This window comes from Homo sapiens, chromosome 19 (assembly GCF_000001405.40).
Source record: "Homo sapiens chromosome 19, GRCh38.p14 Primary Assembly".
In the NCBI taxonomy this organism is placed as follows: Eukaryota; Metazoa; Chordata; class Mammalia; order Primates; family Hominidae; genus Homo; species Homo sapiens.
The window spans coordinates 33714227-33732521 of NC_000019.10; the positions used below are offsets into that span (position 1 = coordinate 33714227).

At 53.3% G+C, this 18295-nt stretch overlaps 1 protein-coding gene across 6 annotated transcripts in view, besides 2 other annotated features; it reads left to right on the top strand.

Moving 5' to 3' along the window:
* CHST8 (carbohydrate sulfotransferase 8) overlaps positions 1 to 18295 on the top strand; it is a 151557-nt gene that overhangs the window by 92274 nt on the left and 40988 nt on the right. The gene's annotated exons all lie outside the window — the stretch shown is intronic.
* Positions 9957 to 10554: an enhancer, noted in NCBI's record as "H3K27ac-H3K4me1 hESC enhancer chr19:34215088-34215685 (GRCh37/hg19 assembly coordinates)". NCBI's record gives its function as "activates a minimal SCP1, AML or CMV promoter by ChIP-STARR-seq in naive H9 embryonic stem cells {active_cell/tissue: H9 hESC(naive)}" and the evidence as "EXISTENCE:reporter gene assay evidence [ECO:0000049][PMID:30033119]".
* Positions 10555 to 11151: an enhancer, noted in NCBI's record as "H3K27ac-H3K4me1 hESC enhancer chr19:34215686-34216282 (GRCh37/hg19 assembly coordinates)". NCBI's record gives its function as "activates a minimal SCP1, AML or CMV promoter by ChIP-STARR-seq in naive H9 embryonic stem cells {active_cell/tissue: H9 hESC(naive)}" and the evidence as "EXISTENCE:reporter gene assay evidence [ECO:0000049][PMID:30033119]".

The following is an 18295-nucleotide window of genomic DNA, read 5'->3' on the forward strand; positions in this document are numbered from 1 at the left end:
GTAGCTAAGTCTTGGAATCAACCTAAATGTCCACCAAGAGAGAATTCGGTAAAGAAAATCTGGTACATATATACCATGGAATACTATGCAGCCATAAAAAAAGAATGAAATCATGTCTTTTGCTGCAATGTGGATGGAACTGGAGGCCATTATCCTAAGTGAAATAACTCAGAAACAGTCAAATACCACATGTTCTCAGTAAGTGGGAGCTAAACGATGGGTACCCATGGACATACAGAATGGTATGATAGACATTGGAGACTCAAAGGTGGGAGGATAAGAGGGGCACGGGGGAGGAAAAAACCTATTGGGTACAAAGCACACTATTTGGGTGATGGGTACACTAAAAGCCTGGACTTCACCACTAATATGGTTTGGCTGTGTCCCCATCCAAATCTCATCTTGAATTGTAACTCCCACAATTCCCACATGTCCTGGGAGGGACCCAGTGGGAGGTGATTGAATCATGGGAGTGGGTCTTTCCTGTGCTGTTCTCGTGATAGTGAATGAGTCTCATGAGATCTGATGGTTTTGAAAAGGGGAATTTCCCACACAGTCTCTCTCTTCTCTTGTTTGCTGCCATGTGAGACATGCCTGTCATCTTCTGCCATGATTGTGAGGCCTCCCCAGCCACATGGAACTGTGAGTCCAATAAACCTCTTTCTTTTGTAAATTGCCCAGTCTTTAGTATGTCTTTATCAGCAGCATGAAAATGGACAATACACCTCTGCAGCCCACCCTGAGAGATCCAGCCAGCCCCTCCCTCCACAGGCTCTGTCCCAGCACCATGGTGACTTGTCACTTCTCCCTCCATTCCTGTTCCTCAAGATCACTCCTCCACACAATTGCTCTGTTCATATTTGCCCTGTTGCCCTCCAAGCTTCTCCAGACAAGAAAGAACTTTGGTCCTGCCCTTGACCAAGTCACTTTCTCACCCTGTGCCCTGGTCCTCCCCTTCCCGACTCGCCCAGGGCTGCTGTTTGGTCAAGGTCATGGACGTGTGTGAATGCCAGAAGCTCCCAATCCCCTCTCTGGCTGTGGCATCACCTGCCTTGTCCTGCTGTCTCCAGCATGATCTCAGCCCCTGCTGGAGCTCAGACCCATGTGGGTAACATGGGGCTCTTGGCTGGGTGGTAGCAGTTTCTCCTGGAAACTGGGGTCAGGGAGAGAAATCAGTGACACAGAGGGCCTGTTTCTGAACAGATAGATAGGATCAGACCTTGAGAGACAACTTGATAGGATAGTAATTTAGGAAATGGAAGGCAGAATTTCCTTGGGCCTGTCAGCTCTGCATCCCAGCATGCTTCTGGTTGCCTTGACAACTCAACAGGTTAAACTTCTTTTCTGGGCATCAGTGTCTGCTCAGGCAGGAGGTGACAGAACCCCTGGAGGTGTGCAGATCTTCAGCAGGCAGATGACTCAGAGCTCAGGCTGACCTTCACCTTGCTGGGCTAGCTGGCCTTGGGTTGTCCCTGGCTGCCTGCATGAGCTTACGATCATGTCCAACCAGCTGCCTCTGCCTCCTATCCCTCCTATTCATCCATCCATTCATCCATCTGTTTATCCAGTAAGCAGTCATTGAGCACCTGCTGTGTGCCTGGCCCCATGCTAGCTTCTCCAGGCAGGTACATGAGTTCCTGGCCCTCTCTCCAGGTCAAACAGGAATAAGCTGGGAGGTCAGGAAGTCCATAGAGGCTTTACACCTGGCATATGTGTGGGTCCATTTAGAAAGATACTCTCAACACATGCAATGTTGCAAGCCTGTCACCCAACGTCTACCAGACCCTTCTTATAGATGCGTCATTTGCAAAAACAAAAACAGTCTGTTTTCTTTCACTTAACACTGCAGGGTGGACCTCTTAACCTCTTTCCATATCGAGACGGATTTTTTTCACCCATTTCAGTGGCTTTCAGTGTTCGTTGTAAAGATGCACCATTAGTTTATTTAGCCAGCTCCTTTCTGGTTCATATTTAAACTGTTTGTAGTTTTATGGCTATTCCTGAATTATTTCTGTTTCCTCTGATGTCATCTTTTTCTGTTTGCTTCTTTTGATGTCTCTTGTGGTGGAGGCTGTCCTCAGATGCTTGATGAGCCCTAGTTACCCATTCATAGTTGAGAGTGGAGCAATAAACATGTGATTGATTTTGTTTTGTTTTTGAGACAGGGTCTCACTCGGTCACCCAGACTGGAGTACAGTGGCACGATCACGACTCACCACAGCCTCCACTTCCTAGGCTCAAGCAATCCTCCTACCCCAGCCTTTTCAGTAGCTGGGACTACAGGTGTGTGCCACCATGCCTGGCTAATTTTGTTTCCTTTTTGTAGAGACAAGGTCTTACTCTGTTGCCCAGGCTGATCTCGAACTCCTGGGCTGAAGCGATCCTCCCGCACTGGCCTCTCAAGGTGCTGGAATTACAGATGTGAGCCACCACACCCAGCCACCTGATTTTGTAATCGGAAGGAGGGGGAAGAGCTTTTCTTCAGGGTATTCGGGTGAGGAGTCAACCCTCTTGGTTCCAAGGGAGAATCATTAGTTGGCTAGGGTTGCTGTAGCAAAGTATTATGGACTAAGTGGCTTAAACAACAGAAATGTGTTTTTTCACAGTCCTGGAGGCCAGGAGTCTGAGATCAAGGCATTGGGCAGCGTCGGTTTCTTCTGGGACCTTTCTCCTGGGTTTGTAGATGGCCATCTTCTCCCTGTGTCCTCCCATGGTTTTCCCTCTGCCCCTGTCTGCATCAGAATTTCCTCTTTATAAGGATACCCGTTCTAGGGATCACTAGGGTACACTCTAATGACTCCATTTTTGATACCGGTGGGCTGGGGGAGGTCCTCGAATGCCAGTGGGGCCTCAACCCCAGCCAGTGTCCAGGCTCTTGACACCCTTGCAAGAAGGAATTCAGAAAATAGTGCAAGTATAGGGATTTATTACAAAGTGAAAAGTACATGCTCTGGCTGGGTGAGGTGGCTCATGCTTATAATCCCAGCACTTTGGGAGGCCAAGGCAGGCAGATCACCTGAGGTTGGGAGTTCGAGACCAGCCTGACCAATATGGTGAGACCCTGTCTCTAATAAAAATACAAAAATTAGCCAGGCGTGGTGGTGCGCGCCTGTAGTCCCAGCTTCTCAGGAGGCTGAGACAGGAGAATTGCTTGAACCCAGGAGGCAGAGGTTGCAGTGAGCCGAGATCACACCACTGCACTCCAGCCTGGGCAACAGAGCGAGACTCCATCTCAAAAAAGAAAAAAAAAGTACACGCTCAAGAAAGGAGTGCCGGCAGACTCAAGAGTCGTGTGGTGGGGTGTGGGGCTGCTACCTTTATGCGTTTATTTAATCCAGGGGTGGAATATTCATGAAAATTCCTGGGAAAAAAGTGGAGATTTCTTAGAACTGTAGTGCCACACGTTTTTACACCAAACATGGGTGGTCTCGGAACTGTCACAGCACTGGTGGGTGAGTGAGTTAGGATGTTAATGAGCATACAGCGAGGTCCTAGGAGAAACCGAGGTCATATCTAGTGCCATGTTGGGCCCAGTTGGTCTTAGCCAGCTTGGTCCACACCCTGTTTTTCAGGGTGTCATATGAAACTACTGCCTGGAATTTTTATTCTCCTGTGGCCACCTTGTATTATTCCTGTCTCATTTTAACTTAATTACCTCTGCAAAGACTCTATCTGCAGTCACATTCAGAGGTACTGGGGGTTAGGACTTCAAGGTGGATTTGGAGGGGAATGCAGTTCATTCTATACCAAACGGACTTGCAGTCTCCATCCTGGCAGAAGACCCCCAGTGTGTACAGGACCGGAAGGCAGCCAGGGCTTTGATCACTCTGTCTGAAGCCTCCCAGTTAGTCCTCTGAAAGCAGTGCTCCCTGCTCCTCCTCCCAGCTTGGAGTCCATAGGTTATTTGCAGTTTCCTCAGCAGGTACATCTTCCATCTCCCGCCAGGGGTGCAGTAGGGGATAGTTGCCTGGTCACTGGATTGTCTTTTTTTCTTTCTTTTTTTTTTTTTTTAAACAGACTCTTGCTCTGTTGCCCAGGCTGGACTACAGTGGCCCAATCATAGCTCACTGCTGCTTTGAACTCCTGGACTCAAGTGATCCTCCCATCTTGGCCTCCCAAAGTGCTGGGATTACAGGCGTGAGCCTCTGTGCCCAACTGCCACTAGATTTTTAAGCCCACATTTCACCCCTGCCATCTGCCTGTCCTGGTGCTTCCAAGTCCTGCACTTTGCTGCATTCTGTGGGGCAAGGCAGTCTTCCCCGCACTCCTCTGCAGGCTCAGCTAGCATGTCCCCTTCACCCTGTAGAATCTGCTCCCACCCTCCGTCCCCTTCCCATCTTCCAAAATCATGTTGCAATCTGGCATCTGCTGCTGTTCCTCTCTAGCTCTCTTCATTACCATGGGCCCCTCTGTTTCATTCCTTCGCTGTCATTATGCTGGGATCTCAGGAGGAAGATGAGCTCAACGTACACGTTCAGTCCCTGTGTTTACCCAGAATCCTCCTGGCTTCTCCCCAAGAAGAGGTCAGAGCCGCAGCCTGCGGAGGAGGGTGTTGAGGCAGCTCAGCCAGCATGAGGCTGGCCCTGCTGGATCCAGTGGGGAGAGGTCACGGTCCCCTAGGGCTGAGGAGGGAGAGAGAGAGCTGTGGGCGGGGCCTGTGCATCTGTCCTTGGAGTCCTGAAGTCTTGAATCTCTGTTGCTACTGAGAGGGAAGGAGGCCTCCAGGTCTTGCTCTGCACTACAGGGGCTCTGGACTTGTTGGAGAGGTGTCTCTTCACTCCAGGGCTTCCACCCGAGACCTGGGCTCCCGGGACTGGGTGTGCCCAGCCTCCTCTCCCCCACCCCCCTGCCAGTGATGTCATAGGTGTGACACTGCAGCCAAAGACCAGGCGAACTCAGGCGGGTGTCTACCACCTCCAAAATAAAACGTGTTTTCTAAACTGTTGCTGAAGCTGCTGAAATGTTTTGTAAAATGTTTACACCTCCCTTGATATAAGGCAAATACCTTCTGTCAGCCGGGGGTGGGCCGGGTGGGGGAGCCCTGGGCGGGGAGGCAGGATCAAGTGGCTCTGGTGTCATTGGTGACACCCATGTGTGTTCACTCCTGGTGGAATTTCTCCTCTCAAGGTCTCTCTGTCCTTGCTGGGGAGATGGGGACTGGGTCCTTGGACACTTCTGTTTTAGGAAGCCTAAGCTCACTGAGGAATTGTTCTAGGGGAAGTGTCTTTGAAGGAGGTGAGGCAGACACGAAGTCCAAAGCTGAGGGGATGGGGAGTTGCTGAAAATGAGTGTTCCCTGGAGAGTGGCAACCATCCCTGGAGGTGGCAGGCGCTGAGAGACAGAACTCGGGGGGACACCTAGGGAGACTGGACTGCAGCCCCAGGGCTGACTTCCCAGCCATCTGACCAGAGGGAATGGAAGGCAGAGATCCCCCAGACACCCCAGGCTGTCTGGGTCCAGGGAGCTTCACAGGGTCCTAAAGAGGGGGATGGGGACCTGGAGCAATTTACTGTGAGTTACAAAAAAAAAAAAAAATCACATGCAGTCGGACCTGAACCATGCACAGTGAGCCTGGCTTTACACTTGAGCATGACACGTGATACCCACTGTCTCCTCCAGCAGCTCTCTTGAAGGCCAGGGAAGCCAGCCCGTCCGTGACCTCTGTGACAGAGCTACTGCTGCAGCCACACACTCAGTGTGTCAGGCACTAGATAGAAATGGAAAGGCTTCAGGCCACACACAAGGCCGTGGGGCTCCAGCTTCCCCTCTGGGAGAGCTTCGGCACTACATGTTCTCTCCTAGGCAGCACTGTGGTGTCGGCAGCCCCGCTGTCTGTACACACAGCTCCTCCGCCAGGCTGGAGTCACCCTCTATGCCCAGAAACTCCCACGGAAGAAGGGCATGGGCAGCTCCTCATACCATGGGGAGGGACAGGAGGGACTGTGTGGGCCTGGTGGTGACATGCACACATGACATACACCCATACATGTACCACACATACACACCCCATACCCCATACACACGCCACACATACACCACACATACGCAGGCCACACACACATACACACTCCCACACACACATCACATATACACACTGCACACACACACCACACATACATACACACCACACATGCATCACACATACCCCACATACACCACACATGCACCACACACCCCGCACACATGTACCACACACATGCACCACACATATATACCACACATACCCACACTGCACACACATGCACCACACATACACACTGCACACCACACACACCACATATGCTTGCCACACACACACGGAATGCATGTAGCAAACACACTCTGCCCATTGGCCTCTGTCCACCATCCAAAGCTTCTCTGCCAGCCCTGGCATCTGCTTACAGTGGAGGGGCAGCCCTTTTCTTCCTGGGGCTCCCACAGTAAGCTGAGCAGAGCACACTGCTGAGAGCTGGAAGTTCTCCCCTCAAGACCATGGGGACACAGGAGGCAGGGAGCTGGGCAGGCAGTGGTATGCAGTGTCAGGAGCCTCCAGGGCAGGCCCCCACTCCCCTATCCTCCTTCCACTATGCAGTTCCTTCCCCTTGCAGGGGTCAGCCTAGCCTGGGAGCTGGGGCCAGTTCAGGGGCTTCCATATCAGTGAGGGCCACGTCCATCATTGCTGAAAGCAGAGTGGCCACCAGCACTGGCCCGACGTGGACGCAGGGAGGAGTGGTGCCCAGACCTGGCCCAAGCCAGGGTGGCTACAGTTTGATCTGACCAGAGTTGCCCTGTCTGTCTTCAGCTTGCACCTCTGGCCATCCCAGGTTCAGGGCCACTCATCTCAGCTCTGTCTTATCTGTGGAAATAGGAAATCAAAGTCCATGTAATCACAAGGGAATCGTTCATTGGGAGGCAACTGGACCCAACCAGAAAGCTAGTGCTCTCGGGGACCCTCTCTGGGGGCCCGCAGCCATGGCTGGAAACCCTATTGCAGGGTCCTCGGAGTCAGCATTGGCTCCAGCAGCATGTGTTTGCCTTGACACCAGAAGATGGAGCCCTGAGCCAACTCACATTCCTCCAGTCCCCAGTCCTTCTCCATCTTCTGTCCTCTGAGATCGGGCATCCTCCAGGACAGAGCCCAGGTATCTTCCTATCTCTGAACACCCACAGTCACCTTCCCACACTGCATCACCACAGGGTGTGCAGGGCCTAACACTGCTATGCTAGGTTCTTAACACATGTCTGTTGTGTGGTTGGATGGATGGACAGATGGATGCATGGATGGTGAGTGGGAAGATGGATGGATGGATGGGTGGATGGATGGATAGATAGGTGGATGGACAGATTGATGGAAAGATGGATGGGTAGGCAGATGAGTGGGCATATGGATGGATGGATGGATGGATGAGTAGGCAGATAGATGGATGTGTGGGTGGGTGGGTGGGTAGATGGATGGAGGGATGTATGAATGGATAGAGGGATGGCTGGGTGGAAGAATGTATGGAGGGAAGGGTGGATGGATAGATGAATGGAAGGACGGATAGATGGATGGAAAGTTGGACAGATGGGTAGGTGAGTGGGCAAATGGAAGTATGTGTGGGCAGATAGGTGATGGAGGGATAGATGTTTGTATAGAGGGATGGATGGATGGATGGATGGACAGATGGATGGATGGGTGGGTGAGTGGGTAGATGGATGGATGGATGGATGGACAGATGGATGGACAGATGGATGGATGGGTGGGTGAGTGGGCAGATGGATGGATGGATGGCTGTTTGGATGGATGGATGGATAGATGGAAAGATGGACAGATAGGTAGTGAGTGGGCATATGGATGGATGGGTAGACAGACTGATGGATGAGATGGATGGATGGATGGATGGATGGATGGATGGATGGATGGATGAAGGGATGGATGGATAGATGAATGGATGGATGGACAGATAGATGGGAAGATGGACAGCTAGGTGGGTGGGTGGGCAGATGGATGGATGGGTGGGTAGACAGTCTGGATGAGCTGAATGAATGGGTGGATGGAAGGTGGGAGGGAGGGAGTGATAGATGAATGGATGGATGGACAGACGGATGGAAAGATGGACAGATGGGTGGGTGCATGGGCAGATGGATGGATGGATGGGTGGACAGACTGATGGATGGACGGACGGACAGACGGATGGGTAGGTACATGTAGTAAAAGAAGGAAATACATGAGGGGAGGCAAAGATTTGTTGGTAGACTGAACCGTAGCCCCTCTGGGGACTAAATTCTCTCAGGAAACAGGTTGAAAGCTCAACATCATCTCCAGAAGCTATTTTCTTGCAGTTCGCACACCCAGCATTCCTGTGGTCTTGTCATCAGGCTGCCTCTGGCCCTGTCTTTCTTACCTCTTTGTTCCTTGGTTGCACCCCTTCCCCCTCTTCCCTGGGGCTGGGCATTCTCAATTGGTAACACGAACCTGGAGGGGATGTGAATGGAGATGAGGTTTCTGGGGAGAAACAGCTGTTTCCCACCCCGAGCGTAACTCCCATCACGGGCCTTGGGAAGCTGGAACAGCCTAACAGCCACCCCCAGTTCCCCACCCACATCTCTCTTTTCTCCCTGCTTTGATGTTCTCCAGTTAGTCCTGGCTCAGCCTCTGCAGCTGCTGATATGAATACACTAAGTGGATCAATAACATGTCAGTCCTTTGCCAGGAGCAAGGGTAAGAGGGGGTCTGCATCTATCAAGTGCTGAGTGACAGCTAATCATTTTTCACCTGGCATTCACCCTTCCGAAGATAAGCCCGGCTCTGCTGGGAACAAGAAGACAACGTCAGAGGCTCCCCTGCTCCACTTCCTGCAGAGCCCAGGGCACCAGCCTGGCTCACATTTCCACTCCCTATGCGTGATCCTGTGTTAAGTGTGGGGCTCAGTGGGAATGTGTGCACGCCCTGGGTTCATGAGCAAATGTGTCTGTGGGTGGGATTGGATCTTTGTGTGTGCGTGCATGCCTGGAGGCTGAATACCTGTGAGTGTGTGTGTATCTGAGTATTTGTTTGAGAATGTGCATGACTGCGTATGTGCAGATGTCTGTGTGCACATCCATGCAGATCTCAGTATCCATGTGAGTGTGTGCATGCACAGGCACCTAGGAGCATATGTTTGACCATTTGTGTGTGCACGCGTGTGTCTACACAAAGGTGTGTGAGGGGCCTGTGTTCATCATCAAGGTGTTGCTGTATATGCCAACATCTGCATCTCCCTTGGTTACCCTTGAGTCCTCTCTCTAGGAGACAGGATTCCCAGCAGGCTGTCCTTCCCTGAGCCATTTCACTGCCACTCCCTGCTCAGCTGGTGCCTAGAAGAGAGGAGTGGTGGCTGGAACCCTGTGCTCACCTACCATCCCCCTTCCTGCTGGAGAAAGCAGGTGCCTGTAGAAGGAAGGCAGTCTGAGGGTGAAGGATCCTGGATTGGACAGGAACATTTCAATTGCAAGGGACAGCATCAGGTAGGGCTGTATCTAGGCTCTGCCTTGGTGTGGTCAGAACTTAGCTTCTCCATTCCTTGCCTCTGCTTCTCCTCTCGTGGGCTTCAGTCCCAGATAGCCTTTTGCCAAGGGGTGGCCCTGGCATCTCTGGGCCGCCATTGTCACCCCATTGTGTTACCTGATCATCCTCGAGCCAATTCCTTTGGCAGGAGGATCCCATGCCCCTTCTGGTGTGGGTGGTGCCACCTCATCCAAACCACAGGGGCTGAGAGTGGGGAGGAGTAGCTTCCCGTGGCGAAGGGGTGCTGGTGTGGTTGTGAAGGGGGAGGTTAGGTGGACAGAAACTGAGTGTGGGTACTTTCCTCCTGGGGTGAGGTCTTGCGTCTCAGGCACTAAGAGGCTCAGCCTGCAGGCACCGGGCCTGGCTCCTCGGTGCCCTTGGCCCCACATGGGTGCTGTGCAGTCACTTCCATGCAGCCACAGGCAGCTGCTCTGGCCTCAAGCTTTAGATGAGCCTAGCCTCCTGACCAGGCTCCACCGGTTACCCCACACCCAGGCCCAGCCCCCTCCTGACACACCCTGCCCCACAGGCAGCTTCCATGCCCTGGGTGTGGGGCCTGGGACCTCCACCATCCTCTCACTGTGCAGAAGGGGAAGGTGCTGGGCGAGCCCCCACCCGGGGGTCAGGTGCTGCATTAGGGGCCTCACCTTCCCCAGTGTTCCCTCCACTTTTAGATGAGGATACCCCCGGCCCCCATCCGGGCTCAGCCAAGGAGCCGTAAGCAGTTCTGTAAAGTGTGGCTGCGGGGCTGGCAGCCGGGCTGCTCTTCCCAGGCTCCATGAATAATTGAAGCTCCATTAAAATGTGCGTCTGCAGCCTGGAGGACACGCCCTCCCTCACTGAGTGTGGGCGCAAGCCTGGACAGTATTGCCTGGGGCTGCATCTGCCTCGGAAGGCCCTGGAGGGGCACAAAGACCAGGTCAGACCTGCCACTCCTGGGCCCTGCCCCTGCCCCCTCTCCTTCCCTGCCTTCCCTTTTCTCCCCATCCTAGCATGTGGCAGGCATGGAGACCTGGCCCTGGAGCTCCCCAGCCAGGTGGCACAGAGAGGCCCACTCCGGGTGGGCTGGGGAGGTCCCCAGCTGCTCCACCTCTCCTTGGGCACTGACAGAGCCTGCTCCAAGGGTGGACTGTGGCCCAGAGTGGGGGGCCACACCTCGGCACACCCCAGCCAGGGACCAGGCCGCAGCTGCTCACCAGCAGATCCCTGGAGGATCGACCCAGCAGATGCTGGGGGTTGGGGAGGGAGTGAGGGCACAGAGCTCCCGGGAGCCATCGGCAGCGCACAGCTGTCATCAGGAGACCAGCACTGCTGTGTGTGCAAGTGCAAGCATATGTATCGGGGGGCGCTGTTATGAGGGACATGAGTGTGCGTGCACAGAGTGTGAGGGTGTCTCCAGAGCTGCGTGGCTGCATGTGATTGTGGGGACACAACCGAGTCTCTACGTCTGTGGCTCTATGTCTGCGCGTCACAAACCCTTGATCAGGCTAAGAGGTCCCCGTGGGGAAGGGCATTTCTCCTTGGCTCCTGACTGATGCCCCTCCCCACACACTCACCCCCCAGGGGCATCCTGTACCTGCTGTTGTGGGCCCCTCCTCGACTCATTCTGAGAGCTAAGCCTCGAGTCCTAATCCAAATCTGAAATTCCTGGTAATGAAATCTGTGAAAGGTGAAAATTAAAAACCCATGGCCACAATCTCCTGGTCCCTGCAGTGGCCCAGGGTCCCTGCTGAGCCCTGCGTGGGGCCTCGAGGCGCCAGTACCAGCCCTTTCCCCACTGCCCTGCCCTGAGCTCAGTGAGCCTTCACTCCCTCATTAGCAAGAAGGGTGCTTCTCCTGCCTTCACCTTCCTTTGCCCCAAATGCGACGCAAGCGAAAGATACTCTTTCTCCCTTGGCTCTCCCACCCACTCTGGCCTCCCTGGTCCTCACCACTGGGACTCTGGGGGTCTCGGCACAGAGGTGTGATGAAAGAAGGGTTAGGGGCTGCCAGGGTGAGCCAAGAGAACAGAGCTGGAGGCTTCAGCCTCGGCCAGCCCCTTATCTCTAGCCTCATCTTCTATATTCTCTCATCTGGTCGTGGTGGGTGCTTTGGGAAGGATCAGGGCAGAGTGACCTGGGCCGGAGCCTGGCCACAGGGTCTAGGTGGCTGGTATTTTGGGCTGAGCTGGACTTGCCCACTGGAGACACTGGGAATGGGGCCGCTCAGGGCTCTTGCCTGGAAGTGGTCCGATTCCCCTTGGCCCAGAGAGAAGCTTTCAGGGTGGGGCATGAAGGTCATTGCCCGCTGCAGCAGGGGCTTCTTGCATTCTCCCTCTTCCTCCTGTAAGAACCGGGGTCTGAGTTGACCCAGTTCTATCCCAAGGCCTTCAGCAACCGGGCAGAAGGCCCTCAGGCCACTGACCTCTTGAGATGACTGTGCTTTGTGGCCAGGAGTGGAAGGTGTGGTGGTAGATGGGGCAGGGGACAGGGCCAGCCAGTCACATACCAGGTCCTAAAGGCCTTGCCATCCTGGGACCTGGTATTGATGTCTTTAAAGGTGAGTATCAGCTGGTCACATTGGCTCATGCCTGTAATCCCAGCACTGTGGGAAGCTGAGGTGGGAGGATCACTTTAGCTCAGGAGTTCGAGACCAGCCTGGGCAATATAGCGAGACCCCGTTTCTACCCATAATACAAAAATTAGCATGGTGGCGCATGCCTGTAGTCCCAGCTACTCAGGGGCTTGAGCTCAGGAGATAGAGGCTGCTGGAAGTCCTGGTTGCACCACTGTCCTCCAGCCTGGGTGACAGAGCAAGACCCTGTCTCAATAATAATAATAATAATAAAAGTGTGAGCATCAGCTGGGAGGTGGGGAGTGAAGGGTGTGGGCACTAGAACTCCCTCTGGGTGGCTCACAGGATGGGGCTGGATCGGTGTCCCAGGAGCAGGGAAAGCCACCCAAATGTCCCACCTCTCGACAGCAGTGCTGAACTCCAGACATGGCGAGGACAGGTTTAGATTTGATTCTTCCTCCTGACCGCCATAAAGAAGGGGGCTCCCTGGCAAGGGGCTAGGAGACGTGGGCCAGGGGCTGCAAAGAAAGGGGCTGAGGGGACAGTGCATGCCGGCAACCCAGCCCTCAGGGCCATCCCGAGTGCTCAGCCTCAGTGCAGCTGCTCCTGCTCCCCCACCTCGACCCGCACCTCTGCTGGCAGTGCTCCCCTCCCAGCTCCTGCACCTTCCCCTCCTCTGCTTGTATCTCAGTCCCACCCACTTTTCCAAGCCCAGCCCTTCCGTGCCACTTTCGCTGATGCCTGATCCTGAGCCCTCTCCTCCCCTTCCCAGGCCCTTTCTGTGCCAAAGATGCACTTCATCCACAGTCGCCCGGGAGCCACTTCTGGCCACGCGTCCTGCTCCCCAGGTGCGTCCTATGGTGGGGATCCTCTCCCACCACCTCCCTTTCTTCAAATGAGGCTCCCTGGCTGATCCTGTGTTCCTGCCAGGGGAAAAACTTGGTACCTTGGGCATCCCCTTCTGGAAATCTTCCATATGTCAGGCTTAGGACGGACAGGCAGCGCAGGACCACAACTTGTGCCGACCCAGGAGGCTGAACCAGCCTCCCGTGGTGGCTGCAGCACTGCCCAAGGAGTCGCCGTATGTGTGAACCCGTGTCTGTGTGTGTAGAGTGTGTGCTCCCGGCCCCTGAAAGCCTGTGGCCACTTGCATTCATGCACATGAGTGTCCATGCACATGTGTGTGCCACAGAGTCCCAGAGTGGGCTGTAGTGGAGCCGAGAGTCTGCCGTGGTCAGGCCGTGCTTGGGGCTGGGGCCTCAGCACCGGATGGGGCTGTGCATCTTGTCGCGCCTGGCTTTATTAATCCATTTTGTGAATAGACTTGGGAGTTCATGTTGGGAATCTGGCCATTTGCTCCCATTTCCTCCAGGCCCCCCGGAAGGAGGAACACATGTTAAATATTTGCGGTTTTGCTGCGTTAGGTTTTAAAGTTCAGCAGTAATTACCGTGACCAGGTGCCAAGTGGATCTGCTCCCTGGAGAAGGCTCCTGCCGTAGCGGGCTGGTGGCTGCATTCCAGGCCAGCCTCTGTGTGGCGTTTGCACAAGCCTGTGTGCCTTGCTTTCCGGCGCCTCTCTTTTTCGGCCTCCACTGACTGCTGGGCCCTTCACTCGGCTGGGCTGTGCCTTCTGTGGGTGGGTGCTCTCCTCTGGCCCAGCCCCGGCCCACACTCCCAAAGAGCAGGCTGCGGGCAGCTGAGGCACCAATGTGGGACTTTGGTAAGCAGAGCCTGGGGGCTCCAGCAAGTGCCTTCGCTCCCACGGCAGGTTCATGGCCACACCTGTGGCTGTCCACACACATGCCATCAGAGCAGACAGAACTGTATTTCCAGAGCACATGTTAGTTTTTAAATCCCTCACCCCAGCCAGCCCCATTTCAGACTACTCAGTTACTCTTTCATGTAAATTTCATCCAATCATGTTTTCTTGCACAAATTCAGCATCATTCACACATCCCCGTTGAGTTCACAGTTCTCTCTAGGCTCTGGCCTGGGTGAGTGGTGACATCTATGTCCTTGATGTGGATATATGCAGATGCTGCTTTTGGGGCGGCTTCTGTAGCCAGGGCGGTGCCCTCTGCTTCCTGGGTAGCAGCTGTGTCTCTGCTGGGCTTGACCTAGGACTACATGTCACACCCCTCAACAGTGATGTCTTTCAGGGTTGCTGCCAGATCAAAGGAAGAGTTGGGGGAACACAGTGCCAGCAATGCCAGGCAAAGGAAAAGGGGCACATTCAGCCAAGCCTCAAGTAACCATGCCCTGCAGGCCTCACACAGTCCCAAGAGAGAACCCCGCATGGCCTCTGATATTTGGGTGTGGTTCGATGAGCATCCCTGAGACAGCCACAGGCACCCAGACATGCACCTGCCCTCAACAGACTCCCAGCCCACTGGGAAGAGAGCCACACATGCTCAGAGTACAGGTGCTTAGGAGGGGGAGGTGCAGGGGAGCCCAGGCCAGGGAAGGGAGAGAGGGAAGCAGACCCCACTTCTTCGAGCTCCCTGGGAGGCCTGTGAGCCCAGGGCAGGAGGAGCTGGGGTCATCTGGGGAGAAGATGCAACACAAGGCAAGCTTGCCCAGTGAGGGAGACTCAGTCATGAGGACAGAGGTGAGCTCCATAGGGTGCTGCTGCGTTAGTCTGACTTCTGGCCCTGCCCTCTGTGGACCACATCTGAGTCCTGCGGGATGGGCTTGGAATAAGCAAGAAGAGCATCTAGGGCATGTTGAGAAAGACTCTGGCACAGGGAGCTGCTCTGCTGGCTTCTAGCAGGCGTGGGCAGAGAGGAGATGGGCACTCCCCCACTGTGCAACAGGATACCCTGCAATTTAGTAATCCCAAGACCTCCAGGCCTCAGTTTCCGGTAGAACTTAGAGGGAAATCCAAAGGAAGCCCACAGGGAAACAGACTGTCATTAAAGTGCAGCTGGGGCTGCAGTCTCATCTGACGGCTCAACAACTGAGGGAGGATCTGTTTCCAAGCTCAGCCAAGTGGCTGCTGGCAGGATTGAGTCCGTCTCAGGCTGTTGGCCAGAGAACTCCCTCAGTTCCTTGCCATGTGGGCCTCTCCGTAGCACAGTTCATGGCATAGGAGCTGGCTTCTTTCAGCGTGAGCAAGCCAGAGAGGGAAATGAGACAGAAGTCACAGCGCGTGTGTAACTTAACCTCAGAAGTGACAGCCCGTCATTGTAGCTGTGGTCTATGTGTTAGACGCTAGCCTCCAAGTCCAGCCCACCTGGGAAGGGATTGCAAGAGCATGTTGCCAGGTGGTGAGGATTGCTGGCACCATCTTGGAGGCTGCCTGCCGCAGGTGAGGTATGGTTGAGGTGCTTTCATAGGGAAATTGTAACCATCATAGGTCCACTGGCCAAAGCATACAGCAAGTCAATACACCCAAACCTGGTTGCAACAGAGAAAGAGATTTAATTGTAGGGTCACTGAACAAGGAAATGGGAAAAAACCTCAAATCCAGCTCCCCAAGGAGTTTGGGCCTGGGGTTTTTAAGGGTTTTGGAGTGGGCTGAAGGATAGAGATTGTCGACTGGTGGAAGAGTGCAGGGTGAAGTGCCAGGGGCAGTGAGAGGAAGAACCTGTGTTCTCAGGCTGATCCCCATCTTCTGTGGGGTCTTCAAACTAGTTTTGCTGGAATTCACAGTCTGAAAGAAAAACATCGTATATGATCCTTAAACAAAAGCCTATGATTTTAAGGTTGGAGATCCTGTCTATAGGAGCAATGGGGATGCCAATCAATTCTCAAACAGTCTTAGGACCCTCATGTCAGAAATCCTACCTATAGGAGCACTGGGGGTGTGCATCGTCAAGACTTAGTGCCATGTGACTTTCTGCTACAAGGAAGTGGGCCAAAGTGCAGCCTGATTGATGCTTAATTATAACTATATTCCCGTCGAGAACCCGGCGTGCAATTCTTGCCAATTCCGTGGGGACAGTTTCAAAATGACATGCTCTGCCTTCCCCTGTAAAAGGATCACTGGATGCTGTGAAGAAACAGTCAGAGGAAGCAAGGTTGAAGCAGGGAGACCTCTTGGGAGAAACACTTCACTAAAACTAGTTTCTCTCTCTGTACAATAGATGTAAGGTTAATCATAGAAGCTGTCTCAGGCGACATTGTAAGAATTAAATGAGATAATACAGGGACCACGCTAAGCTCATTCTTTGGTCTTTTCCCCTAAGGAAAGAAGTGGCACATGCCCCACTGCCTTTTCGAGAGTCTGGCTTATGCTGCTGCCTACTCGAGTTCATTGGATGTGTTACTGGAAAGGGGTCCCAATCCAGACCCCAAGAGAGGGTTATTGGATCTCACGCAAGAAAGAATTCAGGGCGAATTCATCAAGTGAAAGAAAGTGTATTAGTCAGGGTTTTCTAAAGGGACAGAACTAATAAGATAGATGTATGTATGAGGGGGAGTTTATTAAGAAGTATTGACTCCCACAATCACAAAGTGAAATTCCACAATAGGCCGTCTGCAAGCTGAGGAGCAAGGAAGCCAGTCTGAGTCCCAAAACTTCAAAAGTAGGGAATCCAACAGCACAGCCTTCAGTCTATGGCTGAAGGCCCCAGAGCCCCTGGCAAACAACTGGTGTGAGTCCAGGAGTCCAAAACCTGAAGAACTGGGAGTCCGATGTTCGAGGGCAGGAAGCATCCAGCACAGAGAAAGATGGAAGCTGGAAGACTCAGCCAGTCAAGTTCTGCCTGCTTTATTCTAGCCGTGCTTGCAACTGATTAGATGGTGCCCACCCAGATTGAGGGTGTGTCTGCCTCTCCCAGTCCACTGACTCAAATGTTAAAGTCCTTTGGCAACACCCTCACAGACACACCCAGGAACAATGCTTTGCATCCTTCAATCCAATCAAGTTGACACTCAATAGTAATCATCACAGCAAGTTTATTAAGAAAGTAAAGGAATAGAGAATGACTACTCCATAGGCGGAGCAGCAGCTTGGGCTGCTGGACTAAGGATACTTATTGTTACTTTGTGATTATATGCTAAACAAGGGGTGGATTAATTATGAGTTTTCCGAGAAAGGGGTGGGCAATTCCCAGAACTTAGGGTTTCTCCCCTTTTTAGACCATAAAGGGTAAATTCTAGGTGTTGCCATGGCATCTGTAAACTGTCACGGCACTGGTGGGAGTGTTTCTTAGCATGCTAATGCATTATAATTAGCGTATAATAAGCAGTGAGGACAACCGGGGGTCACTTTCATCACCATCTTGGATTTGGTGAGGTTTGGCCAGCTTCTTTACCACAGCCTGCTTTATCAGCAAGGTCTTTGTGACCTGTATCTTGTTCCAACCTCCTATGTCATTCTGTGACTTAGAATGCCTAACCTCCTGGGAATGCAGCCCAGTAGGTCTCAGCCTTATTTTACCCAGTATCTATACAAGATGGAGTCACTCTAGTTCAAACGCCTTTGACAGATGTGTTTTCGTGTATGCAAACAATGATTGAGATGAGGTTTGGGTTCTTCACAAGGAGCCCAGAGCCTGTGCCCAAGGCTGTGGCCAGATCCTCTGGTTTACACAGAGAAGATCTCAGGCAGAGAAAAGGTGTAAAGATGCACTGTTCTCCTTGCTGGCTGCCGGTGACCTCTTTTCCACTCCAAGAAGCTCATGGACTCAGGGAAACAAGACAGCCTGTCTCAATGGCTCAGTCCACACGGACAGAGATTGAGGTGCAAGGGGAGGGAGTCCCTTAATCCACACACTGCTCACACTGGGACAGCTGCGTCTCCACTTCAACCCAGCCAGCTCTGCCCTGCATGAGCTTGGCCATGTGAGTTCAGCTGCATACCGACTGTGCTCTGTTGCAATGCTGCCTCTTTCTTTTGGGCTCTGAAAAGCCGCCCCCTGAGGCTCATGATTGCCCTTACTTTAAAGATGAGGTCAAGCACATTTGGCCGTCACTCAGGAGATCCTCTTGTCTGGTCCTTCTACCAAGAATCGTTGTTCTGCACCAGCTGTTGCAAGGCTCACGCCTAATAAATAAGCCCGCGTTCTGTTTTGCCCCCAGCTGGGCTGTACTACATACTGTCCTGACACTGACCACCTGGAGTTAGCACCAGACGCCACAAGTAAAGGACAGAGCCCTCCACAAGACTGACTTTACTTCAGACACTGGCCGCAAGTGGGGTCCCCAGGCCACCTGCACCGCTGGCCAACTGGCTACAGAGTCAGGTGTTCCTGTGAATCTGTAGCCAGCTGGCCAGCAGTGTAGGTGCTGGGG